Raw genomic sequence first — 22,071 nt, forward strand, 5'->3', positions numbered from 1 at the left:
AAGCACCGGGTGGAAGCTAGGTAGGGAAACAGGGATGCGGGGGAAGGCAGAAACTGTCTGGTGGTTTCCAGAGAGGACAGGGACCAAGTGCGCAGCGTCAGCTCTGGCAGGCCACATAGACACCAGGAAACCAGCCCCAGGACGGGGGGTGTTGGCAGGAGGGACAGGGACTTCCCCGCCCCCTCCCTTGGGCCCTTGGTAAATGGTCATTGTGTTCAGTTTCCGGCAGTGGCCTCCTCTCCTGCCAGGATCCTGGTTTTCCTGACCCAGCCAGAAGCTTCCCCTTTGATTTCTAAATAGCAGTCGAGGTCTGGATCTCAGTGCTGAGGCTGGGCAAGGAGCGCCAGGGCCAGAGAGAGGGAAGACAAGACCCCCAGGCAGGGGTGGGGCTCAGCTCTGCCTCTCCCTCAGTTCCTCAGGGACGGAGAGAGGGAACCTGCACGGCCACTGTGAGCGCTCCGCCGGACCCTCCCAGCACACAAAGCCCGAGCTGCTGCCAGAGGTAATGAAAGCCAGATGAGCGCTGGGCTGGTGTCAGCCTCCCACCCCCACCCTCCCAGGGGTCCCTCTCCAGCCGCCAATGAGGACCAGAGCCCTGGATAGATGAGGGTTGAGGGAACACGTCTGGTCCGGCCATCTGCCAAGCTCAGGAGGAAAGGGTCTCTCAGGCGTGTGGTGTTCCCCCACCAAGAGCTCTGCCCAACACTGGGCGGAGAAACAAGTCGCATCCAGGCCCTGTCTAGGTACCGGGACACCAAGAGGCACGAGACTCAGGCTAACAATCGCCAGCAATCACAACGCGCCACAGTCTAAAGCCATGAAGCGACTGGAGACGCAGCAAGGCAACACGATGCCGCACGGGGACTCAGGAGGTTCACTGTGAAGGCTGCAGCCCAGCCAAAGCTCTGATGGGCCCTGAGCCCCCGATCCAGGAATGGCCTCTGTGCAGGCCCTGTGCCCAGGCAGAGCAGGGCGAGGGGGGCATCTCTGGATTCCACTCCCTCTGCTGTGTAGTCAGCAGCAGTCAGGTGGGAGGCAGATGGCACCACCCAGAGACCCAGGGCACACGAGAAACAAGCCCCCGCCCTCACCTAGTCACCCTCCCCTCCATCCATCACAGGTACACCACTCCCTTCTCTGAATCCTACCCAGTCCTTACCGATTCAGGGTGTTGGCACTCTTTCCAGTTAAGCAGAAACAAGTCTTGCCCGCCCTGGGCCTGGGCCACCCTCCTCCCCTCACCACCAGGACATCTGGTCCCACGTGTTGGAGGCCTGCTGCTCCACCCCATCCCCCGACCCCCCCCCCACCCCGCTCTGAGCAGCCCCGATGTCCCTGGTCACCAGATCCACATCTGCCCCAAGTAGGGTCTGTCTGGAAGGCCCCTATGGTCTCATCACCTCTGAGGATTCTAGGATTTGGCCTTCCCGACCACTTGTTCCACACCTGCATCGTAAAGGCTAACGACGCGCTGCGGGCCCTGGGTGGGAACTGAGTGAAATAAGGCACAGGCCACCGATGTAAACAGGGACAGTGCCGCAGAAAAAGGTCCACCTGGGCTGCAGCGGCCTTGGTGACAGCAGGCCCTGGAACGGTATTGAGGGGCGCAAAACCCCAGCCGTGGTCCCTACTGTTGGACGGGGCGCGGCGGCAGCCCCCACTGCCCACCCTGCTGGCTGATTTCTGCAGAAGGCCCCGACCCCCACCTATGGAGGAGAGAGGAGGGAGGCGGCCCGCTGGGATCGCCCGGCCCCGTCCGGGGCTCGCCCCGACCTGCCCAGCTCTGCCGCGGGTGGGGAGGCTCCGACGCACCCCCCGCCCGACCGCCCCAGCTCACCCACCTCCGGGCGCGGCAGGTCGGGGTCTAGCTGCGTGAAGCTGTGCAGCACCACCGGGCAGCTGTCGGGGACGCCCACCTCCAGGCGCACGGCGTCCCACACGCTGCGGCTCCGCCGGGAGCCCGGAAACAGCGGCTCGGCGCCGCCAGCAGGCCCGGCCGCCTCGGCCCACATGCGCTGCACCATGGAAGGCTCGCAGCGCGGGCGCGGGGCCGGCCCGGCGCGCGGCGGGGGCGGCGGCGCGGCCCGCGCGGCTGGGCTTTGCCACCGCTGTGAGCCCGCGGCCCGGCCCTGCTGATGTCAGGCTGGGGGGCGGGGCCGGAGGGGAAGAGGGTGGGGCCGGGGAGGGGCGGAACCGGAGAGTCCGAGGGACGCGTGCGTGCGCGCGCCCGCGGCCCCGCCCTCGCCGAGGTCAGACCCGGGGCGGGACCGGGAGCCTGGAGGGGCGGGGTCTGAACAAAGAGGGCGGGGCCGGGGAGGTCGAGGGGTGCGCGTTGGCTGGGTCTCCCGGAGGACCGGCTGTCACGTGTGTCGTGGGGCCTTGGGTACCCCGGTTAGGCACCGTTTGCGTGTCACGCTGCTGCAGTGCGTGTGTTGCGTAGGGCTGAAATGTGTACGTGCTGATCATGTGTGGGGAAGCCGCCCTGGAGTCAGCTACCCCGAATTCCAGCAAAGCCTCTCCCCAACTCTGTGGCCTTCCACAAGTTGCTTAACCCCTCTGAGCCTCACTGTTTCTTCATCTGGAAAATCTGGGTAGTGAAAATGACTTCCTCAAACAGTTGCGGGGAGGATGACATTACGTAATGGACATGAAGCACTCAGCACTGAGCACCTGCACCTGACTACAGGCTCAGGCGGAGTTTGGAGAGGCTGACCATGTGTTCAGTGACCCTGTCAGTGCAATTGGAAATCCTGAGTGTGGGGCTGTGTGTGCAGTGGGGGAAAGGGTCAGAGAGTGGGGCCCTACCTTTTTGGGGCAAAGCCCCACACTATCCCCTTACAGACACCCTCAGAGGAGGGGAAGCCAGGGAGGTGGGGGAGAGCGGAAGGCACCAAGGTTGGGGCTGAGAGGCATCTGACAAGGAGGAAGGCATCAAGAGTGACAACGCTGGGCAGAGCACATGGCTGCGTGGCCTGTCAGCTGGGGCTGCTTGTGGCTTGGACATCCCTGGTCTCAGGGTGGAAGTGGGGCTGCTGGGGCTGAAGGGGAAGCAGGGACAGGGACATCCTCAACTACTCTTTCTGGAAGCCAGTGAGGAAGGAAGACAGCCTGGGGCTTAACAGCAGGGCCAGGAGAATGGATGAATGAATGGGACCCTTCCTCATGCCTCACTCATCACTGGGCCTGCCCTGGCCTCAGCCTTCAGTCTTCATGGAGGCCAGCAATTGCTGCCAGCAGCCCTGGCCATGCCAACCTCCCCAGGTCTGGTCCGTACTATTGGGCCTCAGTTTCTCCATCTGTAAACTGAGAGGGCGGGACCAGACAGCACATTCCACGAGCACATCTTGCCCCCTTCCCAAGTGCCAATCCTCAGACACCCACGAAACACTTCCACTGTGACTGGAGTGAGGCGGCAGTTCATCCGTTCAGAACAAGACCCCCATGTGCACACGACTAGAAGGGCCTACTTCACAAAAATTATGGTGGTAAGTTGCAGCTGGGTGGAAGCTCTACTGGTTTTCATTTTACTTCTCTGAATTTCTAATTTCTAAAATCAGTATTTTAATAATCAGCTCTATGTGATAAATGCTGTTTTTGAGACAGTCTCACTGTCACCCAGGCTGGAGTGCAGTGGTGTGATCTCGGCTCACTAAGGCCTCCGCCTCTTGGGGTCAAGTGATTTTCCTGCCTCAGCCTCTCGAGGAGCTGGGATTATAGGCACCTGCCACCATGCCCAGCTAGTTCTGTATTTTTCGTAGAGACAGGGTTTCACCATGTTGGCCAGGCTGATCTTGAACTCCTGACCTCAAGTGAACCGCTCGCCTCGGCCTCCCAAAGAGCTGGGATTACAGGCAGGAGCACTACGCCCAGCCTGTTTTTGTTTTTTTTTTAAGAAGCAAGATGGGTAGATTTGATTTGGGATGGAGATCCCTAGAGGCTGTTTAGGAAGCCTCCAAGCCGTTTGGCCAGGGAGGGTAATGTGGGTGAGGCGTATTTCGAGGCAGGAGGTCCCCACAGGGCCACAAAGAGGTGACCGAGACACTGCCCTCGGCCCTAAGCTCCTCCTCCCATCCCTTTCTTCTGGGGCCAAGCTCCCAATGCCTCCGGAAACTGAAAGTCCAGAAGCTGCCTGCCACTGACTTTATCTCCTCTGCTCTCTTTATCTCCTTCGCTGAGTGATGGGCCTGGGAACAAGCGCCCACCCGTTTTATAGCCCAGAAGGACAAGTGACTCATGAGGACATAGAGGAATCACCACTATTCTGGCCTTGAAGGTCCTGGGTGCTGGGGCGAGGGGTGGCCCCAAGGAGGCTGGAGTGGTGAAGAGTAAAGAATTCATCACACTAAACCCCCCAACGCGGCTGGCCTGGCTCCCTCCCATCTGACTATATCATCTACAGGAGCCAGGGCGGGGGAGGGCGTTACTTAGCCAGTCCCTCTGGCCGGTGTCTGTTTTTACAAAGTTCCTCTTCCTGCCTTGTTCCCCTACCTTTGGGACTCACCTCCCAACTTCTGGGAAGCCTGATCACTGCTCTGGCTGTACATGAGACACACACACACAGACAGACACAAAGATACACAGAGATGCACACACAGAGACACACACATAGAGACAGAGACACAGACACACACACACACACAGAGACACAAAGATACACAGAGATGCACACACAGAGACACACACAGAGAGACAGAGACACAGACACACACACACACACACAGACACACAAAGATACACAGAGATGCACACAGAGACACACACATAGAGACAGAGACACAGACACACACACACACACAGAGACACAAAGATACACAGAGATGCACACACAGAGACACACACATAGAGACAGAGACACAGACACACACACACACACAGAGACACAAAGATACACAGAGATGCACACACAGAGACACACAGAGAGACAGAGACACAGACACACACACACACAGACACAAAGATACACAGAGATGCACACACAGACACACACATAGAGACAGAGACACAGACACACACACACAGAGACACATACATAGAGACAGAGACACAGACACACACACAGACCCACAGAGACACATAGAGACAGAGACACAGGCACACACACACACACATAGAGACAGACACAGAGACACAGACGCACAGAGACAGACACAGGCACACACATTTAGAGACGGAGACACACACACAGAGACATTGGAACAGAGACACACACGCAGAGATAGAGACACACAGACAGAGACATACCTACTCAGAGACATAGAGACAGACACAGAGGCTGGGTGTGGTGGCTCATGCCTGTAACCCAGAGCTTAGGGAGGCAGAGGCAGGATTTCTTGAGCCCAGAAATTGGAGACCAGCCTGGGCAACATAGCAAGACCCCATTCTCCACAAAAAGGGAAAAAACAAGTTTGAGATAGACACAGACACACACACACAGATATAGAGACATAGACACAGATACACACACATAGAGACAGAAACACAGATACACATGCCCCCCTAATGAAGGCACAGATAAAGTTCCCTGCACAGGATGTGTTGCCCAATGCCCTCAGATCGGGCGGGCCTGACTCTGCCTCACACTGTTAGCAACTGGGGTTGGCATTCATGGGACGCCTCCTGCATGCAAGACCCTCTCCTGAGGCCTCCTGTAAGCTGTGGGGACACCCTAACCAAGGGCAAGGCCATCCTGGGACAGCGTGTGTCACCAGTGGAGGAACGCAGCACCACTCACAGTGTTCTCCTCAAAACCCAAACCTAAATCAAGGCAGGCCTCTGCATATAACTGCCATTTGTGGGATTACAGGGGACAGAGAAACATGTTCAACACACCACAAGGGTGCAATCCACAAATCCAGGCTGTGGGAACCTCTATGGGACAAACAACCCAGTTTCTTCAACAAATACATTTCAGAGGAAAAAGAAAGGGGAAACTAGACTAAAAGAAGGGTCAGAGACGTCTAACAAATGCAATGTGTGGATTTTGGATCATGATGTCAGCAAGACAACTGTTTAAAAAAAACAACTATAAGACATGTGGATTGTCTGAACACTGCTACATATTGGATGACATTAGACATCTTTTTAGGTGTGAGAATGGTGTTGCCGTCACTAGTAGAGTTACATCTTGGGCTATCTGTGGATGGCATCACATGCCTGGGATTCATGTAAACATCTCCAGGGGCGGGCAGGGAGTGGGGCAGTGAGAGGTGAACAAGAGTGGCCCTGCACCGATGGTCGTGAAAGCTGGGGGTCTTTATGCCATTTTCTCTATTTTTGTGTCTATTTGGAATTATCCATAATAAAAGTTATAAGAAGAAAAATGGCCAGACGCAGTGGCTCACGCCTGTAATTCCAGCACTTTGGGAGGTTGAGCTGGGTGGATCACTTGAGGTCAGGAGTTCAAGACCAGCCTGGCCAACGTGGTAAAACCTCATCTCTACTAAAAATACAAAAAAATTAGCCTGGCATGGTGACGCGTGCCTGTAATCCCAGCTACTTGGGAGGCTGAGGCAGGAGAATCGCTTGAACCTGGGAGGTGGAGGTTGCAGTGAGCCGAGATTGCACCACCGCACTCCAGCCTGGGCGACAAAGCAAGACTCCGTCTCAAAAAAAGAAGAAAAAGGACACAGCTTGAGACTCACCCTCTGATGCCTCTGAGGCTCCCAGCAGTCCTCCAGAGAGGGCTACAAACTTCTGACCCCGGGCAGTGACTCCTGCCAGGCTCACCGTTTCCTGTATTACTCTCTGTGGGCACAGGGGTCACTGATGGCATCTTCACTACAAAAGGGGTTGGGGGCTCTGCTGTGGGGACTGAGGCCGTGGGCAGCTAGAACCCGAGTCCGGATGCCCACATGGGGCTATCAGAGATGGCTGGGGGCAGTCCAGGTGAACTTGGGTGGGTTTGACACTCAAGGCCAATGACAACCCTGTGCTTGGCGGTTGGAGCCTCTGCTGGGAGGAACTAAGGACTCTCGAGATCACTAAGCACTGCCCGGAAGTGGGGGGTTCTTATGAATCGGCATTGATCCCTTCCTCCCTCCTGCCCCAGCTCACGCCCCCCCACACCCCCACCTAGCCTTCCCAGGTTCCCAACCTCCCCCCGGGACGTGCACCTGCCTTTCCTTGGGGGCTACAACCACAAGCCCCTGGAGAGCACGGCTGCACAGACCTTTCGGAAGTCGGGACGCTGCTCGCAGAGGAACTTTAAAAGGCAGGCTGTGAACTGACAGCTGGCAGCCAGATCCCACCCACACATGTGTTTTGTTTGGCTTGCGAAGTGTTTTTAAAATTTTAAGCCAACAGTAAAAGGTCAGGCGACTTCACATAAAAACCCACATTTCCCTCTTCTCCTGTAACTCTGGGTGACCTGACCACACCGGGTCTGTGTTCCCAAGTGCCGCCGGAAGCTGACTGCAGCTGCCCCCTGTAGCCAGGGCATGTGTGGGGACTGCTCTGACAACTGTCCCCCACTCCCGCAGTGCCCAGTGCCCGACACCCTGGGGAGTCACTGCCACCCCGGAGGGGCCACCAATTCAACATGTGACAACCCGAAGTGGAGGGAAGCAGAGGAGGAAGAGACGGAGGGGGACACACAGATGGAAACTGAGCCCAAGAACCAAGAGTGAGCCTGAGGACCACAGCGAGGGACAGCGGGAGAGGGAGGCAGCAGGCAGACGGAGGCGAGGAGCGATTCCTTGGGCATCTTAAGTCACTCTCTGGCCCCTGAGCAGCTGTCTCGTTTAGGGAAAAGGTGTGTTCAGGCTGAATCTCTGTGGTCCCTCTTCTCCCTGCTCCCATACCCAGACACCGCGGCCAGTGGGGTCTTGATCCCGCAAAGCCCCCCACTGCCCTCAGGCAGAAGACCACTGGCTTGGTGTGGCCCCAGCTCCCCACTCCAGGTTCCCTCTCAGCAGAACTGCTGCAGCTCCTTCTTCATGCCGCCCCTTCTGTCTGGCTGGTGCGTCCCTCCTTCCACCCATTCCTTGGCCAGTACATCCTTGGCCGGTACCTGAGAGGCAGATCATAAAAGCTGCCCCTGTGGACCTTCAAGTCGGGACCCAGGCCTGCCTTAACGCAGGGCCCCAGACAGTGGGCTTTGGGCCTGGGGTGCAGTTCTGGGGGCTGCCGGACACACAGCAGTTCAGAGCGGGAACTGGGCACAGGGCAGTGACTGGGTGACTGTGGCCTTTGGCCATCACCTTTTCCAACCTGGGCTTGGCCAAGGCCGGGAGGAATGGCAGCCAGGTACCCTGACTCAGGTCAGGCCCTGGTGGAAAACCTGTCACCTCCTGTTGGGCAGGTGGAGGTCACTGACCCCTTTCTGTCTCTTGTGATCTATATTTAGAGCCTGGGGAGGACATGAAAAGGGTGAGGCCTGGACACGCTCCTTGGTCATTTCCCAACACTGACGTCACCATTCCTAGCCTGCCTAGGTCCTGGGGTGGCCCTCTGTGGGCGGGTGAGCACACACCTTGGCAGGAGGTGACGCAGCTGGACCACGCGTGGGAACTCCCGGCACAGCGGGCGGGCCTGGCTCAGCCCCACCTCCCCTGCCACTGGGTTCCTGGCAACCTCTGGTGGCTTCTTCCTCCTCCTTCTGCCGCCAGGATGCAGGGGTCCCCACAGGCGAGAGGCTGAACTCAGAGCTGGCCAGGTGAGAAGCGAAGCACCGAACCACTGAAATCTCCAGGAGACCACACTGGGTGGCAGATGTGACAGCAACCCTCTGACCTCACGGGGCGCTGCCGTCCCAGCACAACCAGAACAAGGTGTGCCGATGCCGGGAGCAGTGCAAACGGCCCTGGACGGGGATGCAGAGGGCTCCGGATCAGCCTGGGGCTCGCTGTGGGGCCCTGCTGTCATCCCTTGGAAATGGGTACACCCCCGGCATATTGAGGGGGAGGCACGCAGAGGAACAAACGTGATAAATGCATCCATGGGCTGCAAATCGGGGGCCGCTCGGACAGCTGTCCCCCACTCCTGCAGTGCTCGCTGCCTGGCACTGTGAGGAGTCACTGCCACCCCCGAGGGGCCACCAATTCAACATGTGACAGGCCGAAGTGGAGGGAAGCAGAGGAGAGAGGAAGACATAGAGGGAAACTGAACCCAAGACCCAAAAGTGAGCCGGAGGACCACAGCGGGAGAGGGAGGCAGCAGGCAGACGGAAGCGAGGAGACAGGGCGCAGAGGGGCTGCGGGGGGTGCTGGGCACACCTGGCTGAGGAAGGGACCAAAGGCCCAGAGGGTCCCATAGTCTCAGCCTAGTACCTGTCCCCAAGCCCAGGGGCCCTGATCACAAGGCAGCAACGTCTATCCCACAGCTGTGATAGGTGGGGCACATCACACCCCGAGGGGCCCCGGCATCCATGATCTCCCCTCCTGGAGGGTGGTCAGCCGCCATCCTGGCCCCGGACTCCTTGGAAATGCTCCACAAAGTGCCAGCTGGAAATGTCACAGCACAGGGGGCCTTGGGATGAGCCAGCCCCAAGGGGCCATTCTTTCCTGTGGGTTTGGGGAACTCTTTTAAGATCTGGAGTGCAGATTCGGGTTCCAGTGCCTGCTCTGTGTCTTCCTAGCCTTAGTTTCACCTCCTGGGGCCTCAATTTCTCCATCAGTAAAATGGGGACAGTAACCGTCATAGCACCAGCTCTCAGGCTTCTCAGGGGAGCAGACAGTGAAGCAGTGCACAGAAGTCCTTGGTAATCCAAGAAGCACCCTCTGGACGGAGCTGCCAGGACAGCCCGCAGCCACCCTGGACTGACCCGTGGGGCTGGGGGCAGCTGGGGAGGCCAAGCGTGTGCACACGGGCACCAGCAGCAGAGCAGACCCCCAGTCTCCTCTCTCATACCCGAGATGGGAGATGAAGACTCCCCTGTGAGTTCCAAACTCCTCCAACCAGTTCTGGCAGGGAAGAAAGGGAGTCCTGGGAAAGCAACTCCCATGCCTGGGGCTCGGCGGTGACCCACCCAGCCCCTCCCCGGCAGAGGCACTGGTTGCCCTGGAAACTCACCTCGGTGGTGGCCGGTGCTGGCAGAGGTGCCAGCCAAGGTGTCGGGCTTTGGAGAGCGGCACGACGGGCGACGGCCCTTCTCCTGGCGGTCACCACAGAGACACAGGCAAAGAACACAGAGCCCTTCCTCCCCCTGGGCACGGCAGGCCTGGCACAAACCTGGCCTGCTTCCCGGGCCATGGTGGGGCGAGAGCCAGGTGGGGAGTGGGCCCTGCGGGAGGCCCTCTGCCAGTGTGCTCGTCGCCTGCGTGCCCTAGTGGAGTGGAGCACCCGAGTGCCTGGGCCTGGTGTCACCCGCGTGGCTGTCATACCTGCTGCTGTGACAGGCAGGACCAGGAATTCCCGCTTGTACCAGGCCATGGGCCAGCCGAGGACGAGTGGAGAGGCTGCCCCAAGCTAGCCTAGCTTTCTCCCTTAATTCTCCAAGTCCCCACTCCCATTCCCCCTGTGTCGGGGGCCTGGAAACCACCACACAGAGCCAGAAAGGTGACAGATACAAGTAACCAAATCAAAACAGGGTTCGGTCAGCAGAGCCACCAGGCGGATGTGAGTCTAGCCAGAGGCACTGGGAGGCAGGCAGGAGACCCCACTCACTTGTTCTGGAAGGCTTCCCTGCCCCCTAGACCTGAGCTCTTCCATCCCTGGCACCCAGGCACGAGATTTCCTTTCTTCTTTTTTTTTTTTTTTTTTTCCCTGAGATGGAATCTCGCTCTGTCGCCCAGGCTGGAGTGCAGTGGTGCGACCTCGGCTCACTATAACCTCTACCTCCCGGTTCAAGTGATTCTCCTGCCTCAGCCTCCCAGGTATCTGGGATTACAGGCACATGCCACCATGCTCGGCTAATTTTTTTTTGAGACATCGTCTCACTCTGTCACCCAGGCTGGAGTGCAGTGGCATGGTCTCGGCTCACTGCACCTCTGCCTCCCGGGTTCAAGCGATTCTCCTGCCTCAGCCTCCTGGGTAGCTGGGACTACAGGCGCATGCCACCACACCCAGCTAATTTTTGTATTTTTAGTAGAGATGGGGCTTCACTACATTGGCCAGGCTGGTCTCAAACTCCTGACCTCGTGATATGCCTGCCTCAGCCTCCCAAAGTGCTGGGATTACAGGCATGAGCCACCACACTCAGCCACTTGGCTAATTTTTTTGTATTTTTATTAGAGATGGGGTTTTGCCATGTTGGCCAGGCTGGTTCGAACTCCTGACCTCAGGTGATCCACCTGCCTTGGCCTCCCAAAGTGGTAAGATTACAGGTGTGAGCCACCGCACCCGGCCACAAGATTTCATTTTAACTGGGCGCAGGGGTGGGGGATGCCAATGGTTTGTTTCATTAAGTAGGGTGGTAAAAAATAATAATATTACCACCACTACTCCCACCATTCAGAAAAAACACCACCAAAGGTAACAAGAAAGGGCTGCCATCAGAAAGAAGGGCAGGCTTGAAATGAGTACATTTGGCTTTTAGAATAATTTACTAGAGTGACTACTGGAGTTGTAAACAACCACCACCACCACCACAACAATACAACAACTTACTACCTTGTCCCTGTTTTTCTCATTTTGCTGCAAACCAGACATTGGAAGCCATCAGACGCATCCAACACACCCGTCTGACAAGTGGAAAGACTGAGCCCCAGAGAGAGCAGGGACTTGCCCAAGATCTCACAGGAAAAGTGTCTGTCCAGCTGCTCTGCAAAGCTTGCAGACGCTCCTTCCATCCTGACCTGGGGGCCAGAACACTCAGAGCCCCAACCCCAAAGCCCAGAGATGCCAGGGCGAAGTCAGAGGCCAAGAGTCTCAGCTACTTCCTTACCTTCCTGGGAACCTGGCCGGGTGGATGCCCAGTCCCTGGCTGCAAGTGGAGGGCACAGGGCAGGGAGCAGAACAGCAGAGGCGGGGAGGAGAGGGTGTGGGCAGGGGCTGTGGAGTGCCCCCACAGGCACATCAGGCCCTGGGGCCCGGCTTCCCGCCCAGACACTGCCCCAGCAGCACCTCGCTCCCAGCCCTGCTCCTCTGAGCATCTCACATCCTCTTCCGGTGGCTTTGTGGGCCTTAGGGGACCCAGCTGAGCAGACAGTTCAGGGCCTGGGAGCTCTGCCACCCTCAGGGTGGAGACTCTCAGGGGATGTGGGTGGGCATGTGGGGGTGGGCTGGGCTGGGGTGGGGGAGCATCAGAGAAATGGAGCTAGAGGGTTTCAGGGGGGCCCTGAAACCTACCTCCCTGTACTCACCCTGTGGCCAGAACAAGTCACCTCCACTAAAATCCCTCCACCATTTCTGTCCCACCCAGAAGAGAATCCCAAGTCCTCACCTGCCCACAGCCCCCTCCTACTAACTCCAGCTGCCAGTGTCCTCTGCTGGGAACCATGTTCTTCCCCCTTGGTCTCAGGACTCGGCCCCCAGTCAGAGCAGCCTTCTCCAACACCCCTGTCTTAATGCAGCAACACCATCCCTGCCCCAGCCACCCATTCCCTGTTCTTTTTCATCTGGCACACTTCCTCCTCTGTGCCAGGCTCCAAGGCCCTGTCCCCTGGGAAAGTCAGGCATCACCACTGGCCTCTCTTGCGCACAGTGACTCAACCTTGACCTTCGAGGAACAGTAGAGCCAACCAGGCTGTGAATTGGTCAGCCCAGGACTGAAATTCTGATCCCCAGGGACTCTGGAACCCTGGGCCAATGATTTAGCATCTCTGGGCCTTAGTTTGCTCCTTATAAAATGGGCACAAGGGCGCTGGAGGATTCCACAAGAACTCAGCATGGGCTCGGCTCATGGCCGTGCTTGGCGGATGTGCAATGATCATTTCCAGTGGGGATTGAGGAGTTCAGGTGCCAAAGGGTTACATGCCTGCCCCGGTGCCAGGCACATAACAGACATTTGATCAATGTTGGTGGATGCTGCCCCTGTGCCAGGAGTGCCATAGCCTGACTCCATCCCTGGCAGCAAGGTCCAGATGGCAGTCCGGGGTCTGCCCAGTGCTCAGAGTGTGGCTTGTAACTGGATCCTAGCAGATAGCTTGGAAATGTTTGCTGATGTAGAAGCACACACAGATGGGTACTGCAAGGCAGGCCCGGTCCCGGGAGAGGGGACCAGCGAAGAGGTCACTGTCTGGGTACACACTATTAACGGGAGAGACGCCCTGTGCAGACAGGCAGGATCTGGGTGAGGCAGGCGGCAGGGGTTGGTATCCGAGCAGGGATCCGAGGCTGTCCCCAGCCTCGGCCTCTCACCCCGGTGTTGCTGACTGCCTGGCCATGTGACTGTGGGCATTGTGTGGTGTGGTTCGGCTGCCACTCCAGGTTTAACAGGGAGCTTACCACGTGGTTTGAGGGGGTGGGGAGGGCTTTCCCTGAGCCTCGGTTTCCTTGTCTGCAAAGTGTGACCTCGCAGCCTAGCCCCGTAGAAGGGCTCAGTGGCCGAGAAGGTGTTTCCTACAGTGTGCGCATGTTTGGTTGGGTGGGGGGCTTAAAGAGGCCCTGGAAAGAAGCGCTCAACTTTCTTTTTTTCTTTTTTTTTTGTTTGAGACGGAGTCTCGCTCTGTCACCCAGGCTGGAGTGCAGTGGCGCCATCTCGGCTCACTGCAACCTCCGACTCCCGGGTTCAAGCGAGTCTCCTGTCTCAGCCTCCCGAGTAGCTGGGATAACAGGCATGCGGCACCACGCCCAGCTAATTTTTGTATTTTTAGTAGAGATGGGGTTTTACATGTTGGCCAGGATGGTCTCAAACTCCTGACGTCGAGATCCGCCCGCCTTGGCCTCCCAAAATGCTGGGATTACAGGCGTGAGCCACCGTGCCTGGCCAGAAGCGCTCAACTTTCATAGTGGGGGTGGGGGACCAGTAGGGAAGTGGCAGGGAACCAGGCCACCCTGCTGGTGTGTTTGTGAGCTAATGCCTTTGCTTGGACAAGCAGCTCCCGGGTACCAGGCCCTCTGCAGGGCCTTGCATCTCTCACACAAGCTTTCTGTGCTATTCTTGAATAGCCCACTCCAGCCCAGCTTCCCAAGCCTGTTACCCCCATATCTCCCCTGCCCCCACCTCCAGCACAGGTCAGCCTGGCCTCAGGGCCTAATCCTGGGGCTCCTCCTTTCGGAGCCAGGGTGGGCAGGGCTACCCGGGGCAGTGGGCACTGAGCTTGCTGGAAAGGCCATCGAGGGACTGCTGACACAGTCAGGCTGCAGGAGGAGCAGCACCAGCTGCCACGCAGAAATGCAGGAGTCCCGAGGAGGTGGTGCTGGCAGGAGGGGAGCAGCAGGGCCATGCACCCCTCCTCCCACCCACGTGGTCCCTGGCCCTGCCTCTGCCGCCAGCCTGGGGGAGAGCAGGGTCTTTGTTCCCTGCTGGCCAGGCCGCCACGTGATGCGCCACATCACTGTCACTGCCTGGAACGAAGACTGCCATGGACAGCCGAGGCGCTGGGGCCTGGGGGTGAGGCCAGTTGGAGGAGCTCCACCTGCAGCCTCCCCACCGCAACTCTGGCTGCCTTCAGGAGCTGGGCCTAGTGAGGGCCATACATGGCACAAACATTTCCAGCTACTGTGCATGAAGCTTACGACGACCCTGACCCCAGGCTTCTCCCAGGACACACGACCTACCAGTGGTCCCACGATGCTCTGCCCAGCACGCCGGGTGGCCTGGGATAATGCACCTGGCCACACACACAAGCCCAGGCTAGCAAAACCCAACCCACAGGCACCTTTCTAGGTAGGGGCAGGCCCTGGCTGGGTGTGAGGCCCATTGTTTACAAACACTGTGCAGCTGTCGCTAGGAGCTGTGACTCAGAGCCAGAGCAGTGACTCCTCGCGAAGCTGTTTACTCGGCACCACATCCTGTCCAGGAAGCAGATAGCAGAGGCCGAGGCCTGGCTTTTGCTCCTCTTTCCTGCTGCTAACTTGACTCAGGGAGCTGCTGGCCAGACTCGGTGTCCAGCTGGGGGGACACTCCAGCTCCCCTCCCCCTGGCTTCTGGGAACCTGAGGCCCCGTCAAGTCGCTCAACACACATTCAGGCCCAGCCGGCTCTGCTAGGTAGTGATGCTGTGGTCGTGCAGGAGACAGATCCTGCCCCTGGAGGCTGCACCTATGCCTGGCATCCCCTCCCTCTTTGGCTCTGACTAGGAGACTCCCAGGGACGGGGGCATCACTGACACCTGTCACTGTGCAGCCCAGAGGCAAATTCTTGCCACGTTCAGAAGCCTGGCAGGCAGGATCAACTCCTGACACCCCTTCGTACCCTAGAGCCTAGTCTGGCGCCGCCTTTAGCACACCTCAATGGGGACAAAGCACTTTTCCAGACAGCCTCTGCCAGAAAGATGAGGCCACAGTCATCATCTCTGTTGTAAAACTGAGAAAACTGAGGCCCAGAGAGGGCGAACAACTTGCCTGATGTCACACAGCGTGTCAGTGCCAAGGCAGGGTGTAAGTCCGGCCCCCAAGGCTGCTTGCTTTCCTCTACTCTGTTCCAAATTAAGGATCACAAGTAGATTTGTTCCAGGCAGCACACAGACTTGACGCTGCTGGGACCCTGTCCCTGGGGTGGGTGGTCTGTCCCCTGTAGGAGGCCTAGGCTGGGGACTCTGACTTCCATTTCTGCTGATCACTGCTGCCTCCAACCTGGCGCCTAAACCAGAGTCAACAACCCTCTGATAATTTCTACTACGCACTGCCATGCCAATGCGGGTATCATTTCACCATCATGATATGTGACGCAGGTTTTGCAGGTGAGTTTGAGGATGAAGCTCAGAGATGGCACAAAGCTCATCCAAAGCCACACAGCAGAGCAGGGCTTCCAATCCTGTCTGACTCTCAGGTTTGCGCTCCCAGTCACTCCTTCCTGCAAACTCCTAGCAGGAAGACTCTTTATGACTTTTCATAAAGAGTCAAAGGTGATTTTATCCTCACGGTGCCCTTCTAAGTTCAGGGTGCAAGTATCTCAATGACCTCCAGTTCACAGGAGGGCCCCTGTGTGTGGTGGGGAGGCAGAGCCGCAGAATGACTTGTGGAAGGCTACACACCCCAGTGGGGAGGACCTTTCCCCTGCTCCAGGCTAGGGAGACCCGGGGACTCCCAGGAGCAGCAGAGCCACAGGACACACCTGCCAAGGCATGTGGAAGGTGGGCCACCCTGGAGTGGGGAGAGAAAGGCAAAGAGGGGCTGTGCTTATTTTGGCAGTTGGGGCTTGGCACCACCCCAGGCAGGACAGTAATTCAGCAACTGGCTGATTCACCCACCGCAGGGCTCCCCTGCACTGGCTGCCTGCCCGCCGGCCCCTATTACCAGCCCACTGAGTCACGCAGGTTGCCAAGAAGCTGAGGATCCAAGAATCCAGGCCCTGCCCCAGCCGCTCCCATTGGCTTTGAGCCCAGCAGGACCCAGCCCTGCCAAGGGCACCGCAGCTCCCCTCCCCAACCCTGCCTGCCCCCAGGTCCAGCTCCAGGAGGAACCCAACGTCTAACTGTAAGGATCCAAGCAGTGGCTGGGAGCTGGGGCCTACAGTGTCAGGAGTCTTGGGCCAAACCCTCATCCTGTCACTTCCTGGCTGGGTGGAGCTGGGTGAGCCAGGCAGGTTCCTTTCCCTTGCTGAGCCTTGGTTCTAGCCCATCAACAGGGAACATCTCTGCCTCAAAAAGACTGCATGCTGAAATGAAACACTGGATGGGAAGCACTCAAGATAGGGCCTGGCACATGCTCCGTGTCAAAAAAATGGCACCCCAAGGTGGCATCCTCTGCAGGGAAGAACCAGAGTTCTTATTTTGAATTCAAGGCCAGCTGATACTTCTGTAAAATGCAGGTGAAATGTTGCAGCAATGTCAACTGCCATAGAGTTTCTAAACAATGTCCATTTCTCTACTGAAGGAGATGAGGATCAGTAACAGAGTTTGTAGCCTGCACTGTCTGCAGACCACAGAGAGGGCCCGGGGCACAACTATATTCACACAGCCAGACCACGCGAATTTACTGAACACCTACTAGGTGCCGGGCACTATTCAAGTGCCAGCGATAGACCAGGGAAAAACACAACACATAAAAATCACCTTTGGCCTAGGTCATAATAAGTAAAATGCATTTTTGAAAATAAGAATGCTCCAGAAGGCAAAAACAGAACAGGGAAGGCTGATGGGGCCCATGGGGCAGGAGCAGGTGCTACAACTGCAGACAGGCCAGGAGGGCTGAGGGGGCAGCGCGGGTATGGATGGAAGGAGGGACATTAAAACATTTCACCTTGGCCGGGCGCGGTGGCTCACGCCTGTAATCCCAGCACTTTGGGAGGCCAAGGCAAGTGAATCACTTGAGCTCAGGAGTTCGAGACCAGCCTGGTCAATGTGGTGAAACCCTGCATCTACTAAAAATACAAAAAAACTAGCTCGGGTGCGGTGGCTCACGCCTGTAATCCCAGCACTTTGGGAGGCCGAGGCGGGTGGATCATGAGGTCAGGAGTTCAAGACCAGCCTGGCTAACATGGTGAAACCCTGTTTCTACTAAAAATACAAAAATTAGCCAGGCGTGGTGGCGGCGCCTGTAACCCCAGCTACTCGGGAGGCTGAGGCAGAGAACTGCTTGAACCTGGGAGGCAGAGGTTGCAGTGACCAAGATCGTGCCACTGCACTCCAGCCTGGGCGACAGAGCAAGACTCCATCTCAAAAACAAACAAAAAAACTAGCTGGGCATGGTGGTGCGTGCCTGTAATCCCAGCTACTCAGGAGGCTGAGGCAGGAGACTGGCTTAAATCCAGGAGGTGGAGGTTGCAGTGAGCTGAGATAGCACCACTGCATACTCCAGCCTAGGCGACAGAGCAAGACTTCGTCTCAAAAAACGAAACAAGGCTGGGCGTGGTGGCTTACGCCTGTAATCCCAGCACTTTGGGAGGCCGAGGCGGGCGGATCACTTGAGCTCAGGAGTTTGAGACCAGCCTGGCCAACACGGTAAAACCCCATCTCTACTAAAAATACAAAAAATAGACGGGTGTGGTGGTGCACCTGTAGTCCCAGCTACTCGGGAGGCTGAAGCGGGAGAACCACTTGAACCCGGGAGGTAAAGGTTGCAGTGAGCTGAGATCGTGCCACTGCACTCCAGCCTGGGCGACAGAGCAAGACTCCGTCTCAAAACAAAACAACACAATTCACCTACCACGGGGTCCTTTCATGCCCCCCATGGCGGGGAGTTTGTAAGCTCCTTGAGAGCAGGGACTCTGTTCCCCAGGGTCCTGATGCCTAGAACAGCATCTAGCACACAGCTGGCTCTCCATAAATGCCTAGATGAACAAGTGAGCTCGATGGGCCAGACTCTAAAATATTCGGAGGTTCTTGTGGGAAGATCACCAGGAGAGCTCCTTGGAAGAGGTGATGAGGCTGGAGAGGAGCCTGAGGGAGGGCAGGGGGCCGGAGGGCCAGGGAAGGGCGGGGCGCCTCTGCTCACCTGGCTCCCTCCCATTAAAGTGCTTTCCCCCCAGGAACCAGGCTGAGAAGAGAGGCAGAGGCAAGCCAGGCGGGGGAAGAGCGAGGAGGAAGGCAGCCAGGCTTTCTGGGAAGCAAGAGCCCTTTTTCTTAGAAGCAGGGCCCTGGAGTTTCCCAGAAGCCAGCCTGCCCTGGGACGGTGGAGGCGGTGGTAGGTGGTCAGGTTGGCCCTGGTTTAACCTAGGGGGTTTTCCCTTCCTAAATTCCTGGCCCAGGAACAATTCTTGGGGAATGGGTCTCTGTTCACAGGTAAGTAGAAGTTGCTCTGCTGTGGGCAGAGACCCCTCCCCAAGGCACAGCCGTGGCTGGTGAGGATGGGGGATGGGGGCTGAGCCCACAGTCAGGCCCCTGTGTCCAGCAGGCCCTGGTCGCCCAGTGCGCTCGGGCCAGGGGAACCAGGACAAACGGGCCCTTGTGGTTGGGAGGCTGCCTGCCGTGCCAGGGACACTGTGTGCCCGGTGCCGCCACCAGCCTGCTGCCTGCCTGAAGGGGCTGAGGGCCTGGGAAGTGGGGCTACTGTTTCCAAAGGGAACCTCCTAAGCTGCCCTGGCCTCTGGAGAGGGCACAGGGCCTTGGCTGGCTGCCAGGAGGTGGCAGGGCTGGTGCCCGCTGCCCTCTTTCTCACAGTCCTTTGCCTGCAAGAAGTTCCCCAGGGCTAGAGAAGCGCAATCCCTTGGGACTCTAGGGCCCTGGGTCTGAGGGACACTGCTGTGTCCCACCCTCCTGCCACCCACTGTCCCGTTAATCCCTGGGCTTGGCTCCTTCCTTGGCTTCTCCCCTGGAAGGCGAGGCTCAAGGGCCTCTCCTATCTGCCTCACCTGGGATGCCTGACAAAGGACAGCAAGGTACCAGCTGCCCTCCCCTGCCCAGGGACCCTCCAAGAGCTGTTCAGGTCTCCATGCCAGCATCATGGTGGGCAGCTGGGTGTGCCAGGCAGTGGCTGAGCAGTTCCCAGCCACCACAACCCTGTGAGCTGGGTCCGGCTGTCAACCCAGTGACACATGAGAAAACTGACACTCAGCCCTCCTCATGGTCACGGCTCCGGCCTGGGCCTGGTGCTTTGTTTGTTTGTTTATCTGAGACAGAGCCTTGTTCTGTCACCCAGGCTGGAGTGATCTCGGCTCGCTGCAACCTCTGCCTCCCAGGTTCAAGCAATTCTCCTGCCTCAGCCTCCCGAGTAGCTGGAATTACAGGTGTGCACCACCACGCCCGGCTAATTTTTGTATTTTTAGTAGAGATGGGGTTTCACCGTGTTAGCCAGGCTGGCCTCAAACTCCTGACCTCAGGTGATCCACCTGCCTCGACTTCCAAAATGCTGGGAGTACAGGCATGAGCCACCGCACCTGTCCAGGTCTAGTGCTTTAAAAAGGCAAAATGCAAACCCCCACTCCCTCCCACACTCACTGTGGCAACGTGCTGTCCCTCCCCAGGCACCAGCCATGTGTCCCCACACGCAGCCACACATACCCCTTCATATATGTGCTCCCTCAGCCACTGTCAAGCTTGTCACATCTGAGCACATGCATGCTGCAGACATACAGGGTCACCCAAAGGCAGAGAGATGCACCTGCCCCCAACACACGTGCTAGAATGCACATGTGCCCCACCGCATCCCACAGCACACAGCCGCTGCCCCTGCAGGCCCAGAGGCCCTGGATACACACCCTGCTCCCTGCATATCTGCCAGACAGCAATCTCCTCAGGGCTGCGGAGAGGGGAGGAGGCAGGGCTCCATGCAGGGACTCCCCGACCCCAGAAGCTGGGAAGGAAACACCTCATGGAGTCCTGAAGAACGGCAAGCGGCTATTTCGAGGGGGCAGGGGGACCAGGCAGGCGGTGCCGCCAGCTGAGACCTTCCACACTGGGCACTACCCACCTGCCCACTACCCCCAGCTGTCACCTCCCCAGCCACCCAGGGCCTGGGGCCAGGTGGACTGCTTCACCCTTGAACTCCAGTCCTGTCAACTGGGCAGCAGGGCCTGGAACTTGGCCTCAGGGAAGAAGGGGGTCGGGGGAGAGTGGGATGCGTGGCCTGGGCAACTTACTCGCCTCCTCGGGGCCGTAGTTCCCCTACCTGAAAAAAACCTGTGGATTCAACTTAGGGCCTGCAAGTGTCCCTGCCCTCCACCCACACCCTGGCTCCCCAAGGGCAGCGGGAGCTGGTGGGCCATCGGCCATCTCCCTTCTGCGAAGCGGAGCAGACATTGGCTGCCATCTGCGGAGGGCCTGCCCATGCGGTGCCAGGGGCCTCAGGAACATCTCATACTCCCCCACATCCGTAGGCCCACAGAGGAGGCAATGGGGGTACAGAGGAGTTAAGGAACCCACTTGTCTGGGTCCCCTGAGGCCAAGCCAGGGCTCCCATCCCACCTCCCAGGCTTCTCTCCCCTTGACCTCTAGACAGCCCGAACTTCCCTGCGGCTGCTGTTCCTGGTGAACATCGTGACAGATGACAGCACTAGTCAGGTGATTAATCAGCTGATCACTTGATCATCGGGACAGATAAGTGCTGCTGCAGCTATAGCCCAGCAGGGGTGGGGTGGGGTGGGGTGGGAGCGGGAATCCCTTTGGAATGGATTCAGGTCAGGTGGTGGCAGCCCCCAGGACTTAAATACCTTCTGCCACCCTCCCCATGGTCCCACCCTCCCCACGGTCCCACCCTCCCAGTTTTGAACTTACATTACAGGCAAAGGGCACCCCCCCACACACACATCTGGGATCAGGACAAAGTCCCAAGAGGGGCGGGTGCCAGAGGTGGGGGAAGTTCCTGGACTCAGGGCCTCTGGTTGGCCAAGGGTGCTTTCTTCTTTCTCTCCACTGGACAAGCCCACCCCTCCCTGCCTTCCTCCCTCGGAACACAAAGGTCAGATGGGCACACCTGACCTCTCGGGTGGTGTCCAGCAGAGAGGTCCTGCACCCTTCCCATGGGAGCCCTTTCTGGACCCTAACCTAGAAAGAGGGAAGGACTGGGGTGCCCTCCAGCAGGCAGTGGGTCCCGGCCCCCCTTATCCTTCCCAGAAGGACTGGGCAGCTCAATTCAGTTAATTATGTGCCCACCATGCAGTGCAGGGAGGGGAGGCCAACGTGGGGGAGGGGGTGGGGAAGGTCCTTAGTGCAGCACCCACGCAGGGTGGGTGGGGCTGTGTGCCTGAATCTTCCCTCCCACCAACTGGCTTCCTGCAGCCTGTTCCTTGGTGCTGGGCTGGGGGCTCGCCTCATCCGCCCGCCTTCTTGGCGTGGCATCCGGCAAGAACGTGGGCCGGGGCTGCACGCACCTTGGGCTGTGGGCCGGCAGCTCCCCGCCACTGTCTGTGCTGCCCTCTGCCCTGCCCCTCCTCCTGTGGCACTCCAGCTGGGGGTGGCTGGGCAGAGTCCCCATGGGATCACCCTGAGCCCAGCCGACGACCCCCAAGTGAACATACGAGCCCAGTACCCAACTCCGGAGGTGGGCACACCCCTTGCCCATTTGACAGATGGGGCAAGGGAGGCTCAGAGGGGTGAAATCATGACCCAGGGTCACACAGTGAGCAAATGACCAGGGTCAGACTGGCATCCTGGCTCCATGAGAGCACCGGGAGTTCCTGCAGAGTTGTCACCAACAGTCCTACCCTCACTGC

At 58.3% G+C, this 22,071-nt stretch overlaps 1 protein-coding gene across 5 annotated transcripts in view, besides 8 other annotated features; it reads right to left on the reverse strand.

Moving 5' to 3' along the window:
- Positions 1 to 22,071, reverse strand: part of RALGDS (ral guanine nucleotide dissociation stimulator) — a 51,489-nt gene that overhangs the window by 21,409 nt on the left and 8,009 nt on the right. For 2 of the 5 annotated variants that reach the window (NM_001271776.2, NM_006266.4), the window contains exon 1: positions 1,842 to 2,110. The exons of 1 other annotated variant lie outside the window; for it this stretch is intronic. In NM_001271776.2, coding sequence (NP_001258705.1) covers positions 1,842 to 2,024 — 183 coding nt within the window. In that variant the 5' untranslated portion in view covers positions 2,025 to 2,110. Of the gene's footprint in view, positions 1 to 1,841; positions 2,111 to 10,008; positions 10,272 to 11,821; positions 12,028 to 22,071 lie in introns of those variants that run through there. 2 more of the 5 variants (NM_001271774.2, NM_001271775.2) reach the window with 2 other exon arrangements.
- Positions 1,014 to 1,710: an enhancer, noted in NCBI's record as "H3K27ac-H3K4me1 hESC enhancer chr9:135995531-135996227 (GRCh37/hg19 assembly coordinates)". NCBI's record gives its function as "activates a minimal SCP1, AML or CMV promoter by ChIP-STARR-seq in primed H9 embryonic stem cells {active_cell/tissue: H9 hESC(primed)}" and the evidence as "EXISTENCE:reporter gene assay evidence [ECO:0000049][PMID:30033119]".
- Positions 1,690 to 2,399: a silencer, noted in NCBI's record as "silent region_20442". NCBI's record gives its function as "represses an Ori minimal core promoter by ATAC-STARR-seq in GM12878 lymphoblastoid cells {active_cell/tissue: GM12878}" and the evidence as "EXISTENCE:reporter gene assay evidence [ECO:0000049][PMID:35858748]".
- Positions 6,921 to 7,030: a silencer, noted in NCBI's record as "silent region_20443". NCBI's record gives its function as "represses an Ori minimal core promoter by ATAC-STARR-seq in GM12878 lymphoblastoid cells {active_cell/tissue: GM12878}" and the evidence as "EXISTENCE:reporter gene assay evidence [ECO:0000049][PMID:35858748]".
- Positions 7,121 to 7,310: a silencer, noted in NCBI's record as "silent region_20444". NCBI's record gives its function as "represses an Ori minimal core promoter by ATAC-STARR-seq in GM12878 lymphoblastoid cells {active_cell/tissue: GM12878}" and the evidence as "EXISTENCE:reporter gene assay evidence [ECO:0000049][PMID:35858748]".
- Positions 7,321 to 7,370: a silencer, noted in NCBI's record as "silent region_20445". NCBI's record gives its function as "represses an Ori minimal core promoter by ATAC-STARR-seq in GM12878 lymphoblastoid cells {active_cell/tissue: GM12878}" and the evidence as "EXISTENCE:reporter gene assay evidence [ECO:0000049][PMID:35858748]".
- Positions 7,689 to 8,888: an enhancer, noted in NCBI's record as "BRD4-independent group 4 enhancer chr9:136002206-136003405 (GRCh37/hg19 assembly coordinates)". NCBI's record gives its function as "activates an origin of replication core promoter dependent on BRD2, P300/CBP, MED14 and CDK7 cofactors, and independent of BRD4, by STARR-seq in HCT116 cells {active_cell/tissue: HCT116}" and the evidence as "EXISTENCE:reporter gene assay evidence [ECO:0000049][PMID:35650434]".
- Positions 13,580 to 14,124: an enhancer, noted in NCBI's record as "H3K27ac-H3K4me1 hESC enhancer chr9:136008097-136008641 (GRCh37/hg19 assembly coordinates)". NCBI's record gives its function as "activates a minimal SCP1, AML or CMV promoter by ChIP-STARR-seq in primed H9 embryonic stem cells {active_cell/tissue: H9 hESC(primed)}" and the evidence as "EXISTENCE:reporter gene assay evidence [ECO:0000049][PMID:30033119]".
- Positions 14,839 to 15,128: an enhancer, noted in NCBI's record as "active region_29229". NCBI's record gives its function as "activates an Ori minimal core promoter by ATAC-STARR-seq in GM12878 lymphoblastoid cells {active_cell/tissue: GM12878}" and the evidence as "EXISTENCE:reporter gene assay evidence [ECO:0000049][PMID:35858748]".

The sequence above is a fragment of the Homo sapiens genome, chromosome 9, assembly GCF_000001405.40.
Source record: "Homo sapiens chromosome 9, GRCh38.p14 Primary Assembly".
Taxonomy (NCBI): domain Eukaryota; kingdom Metazoa; phylum Chordata; class Mammalia; order Primates; family Hominidae; genus Homo; species Homo sapiens.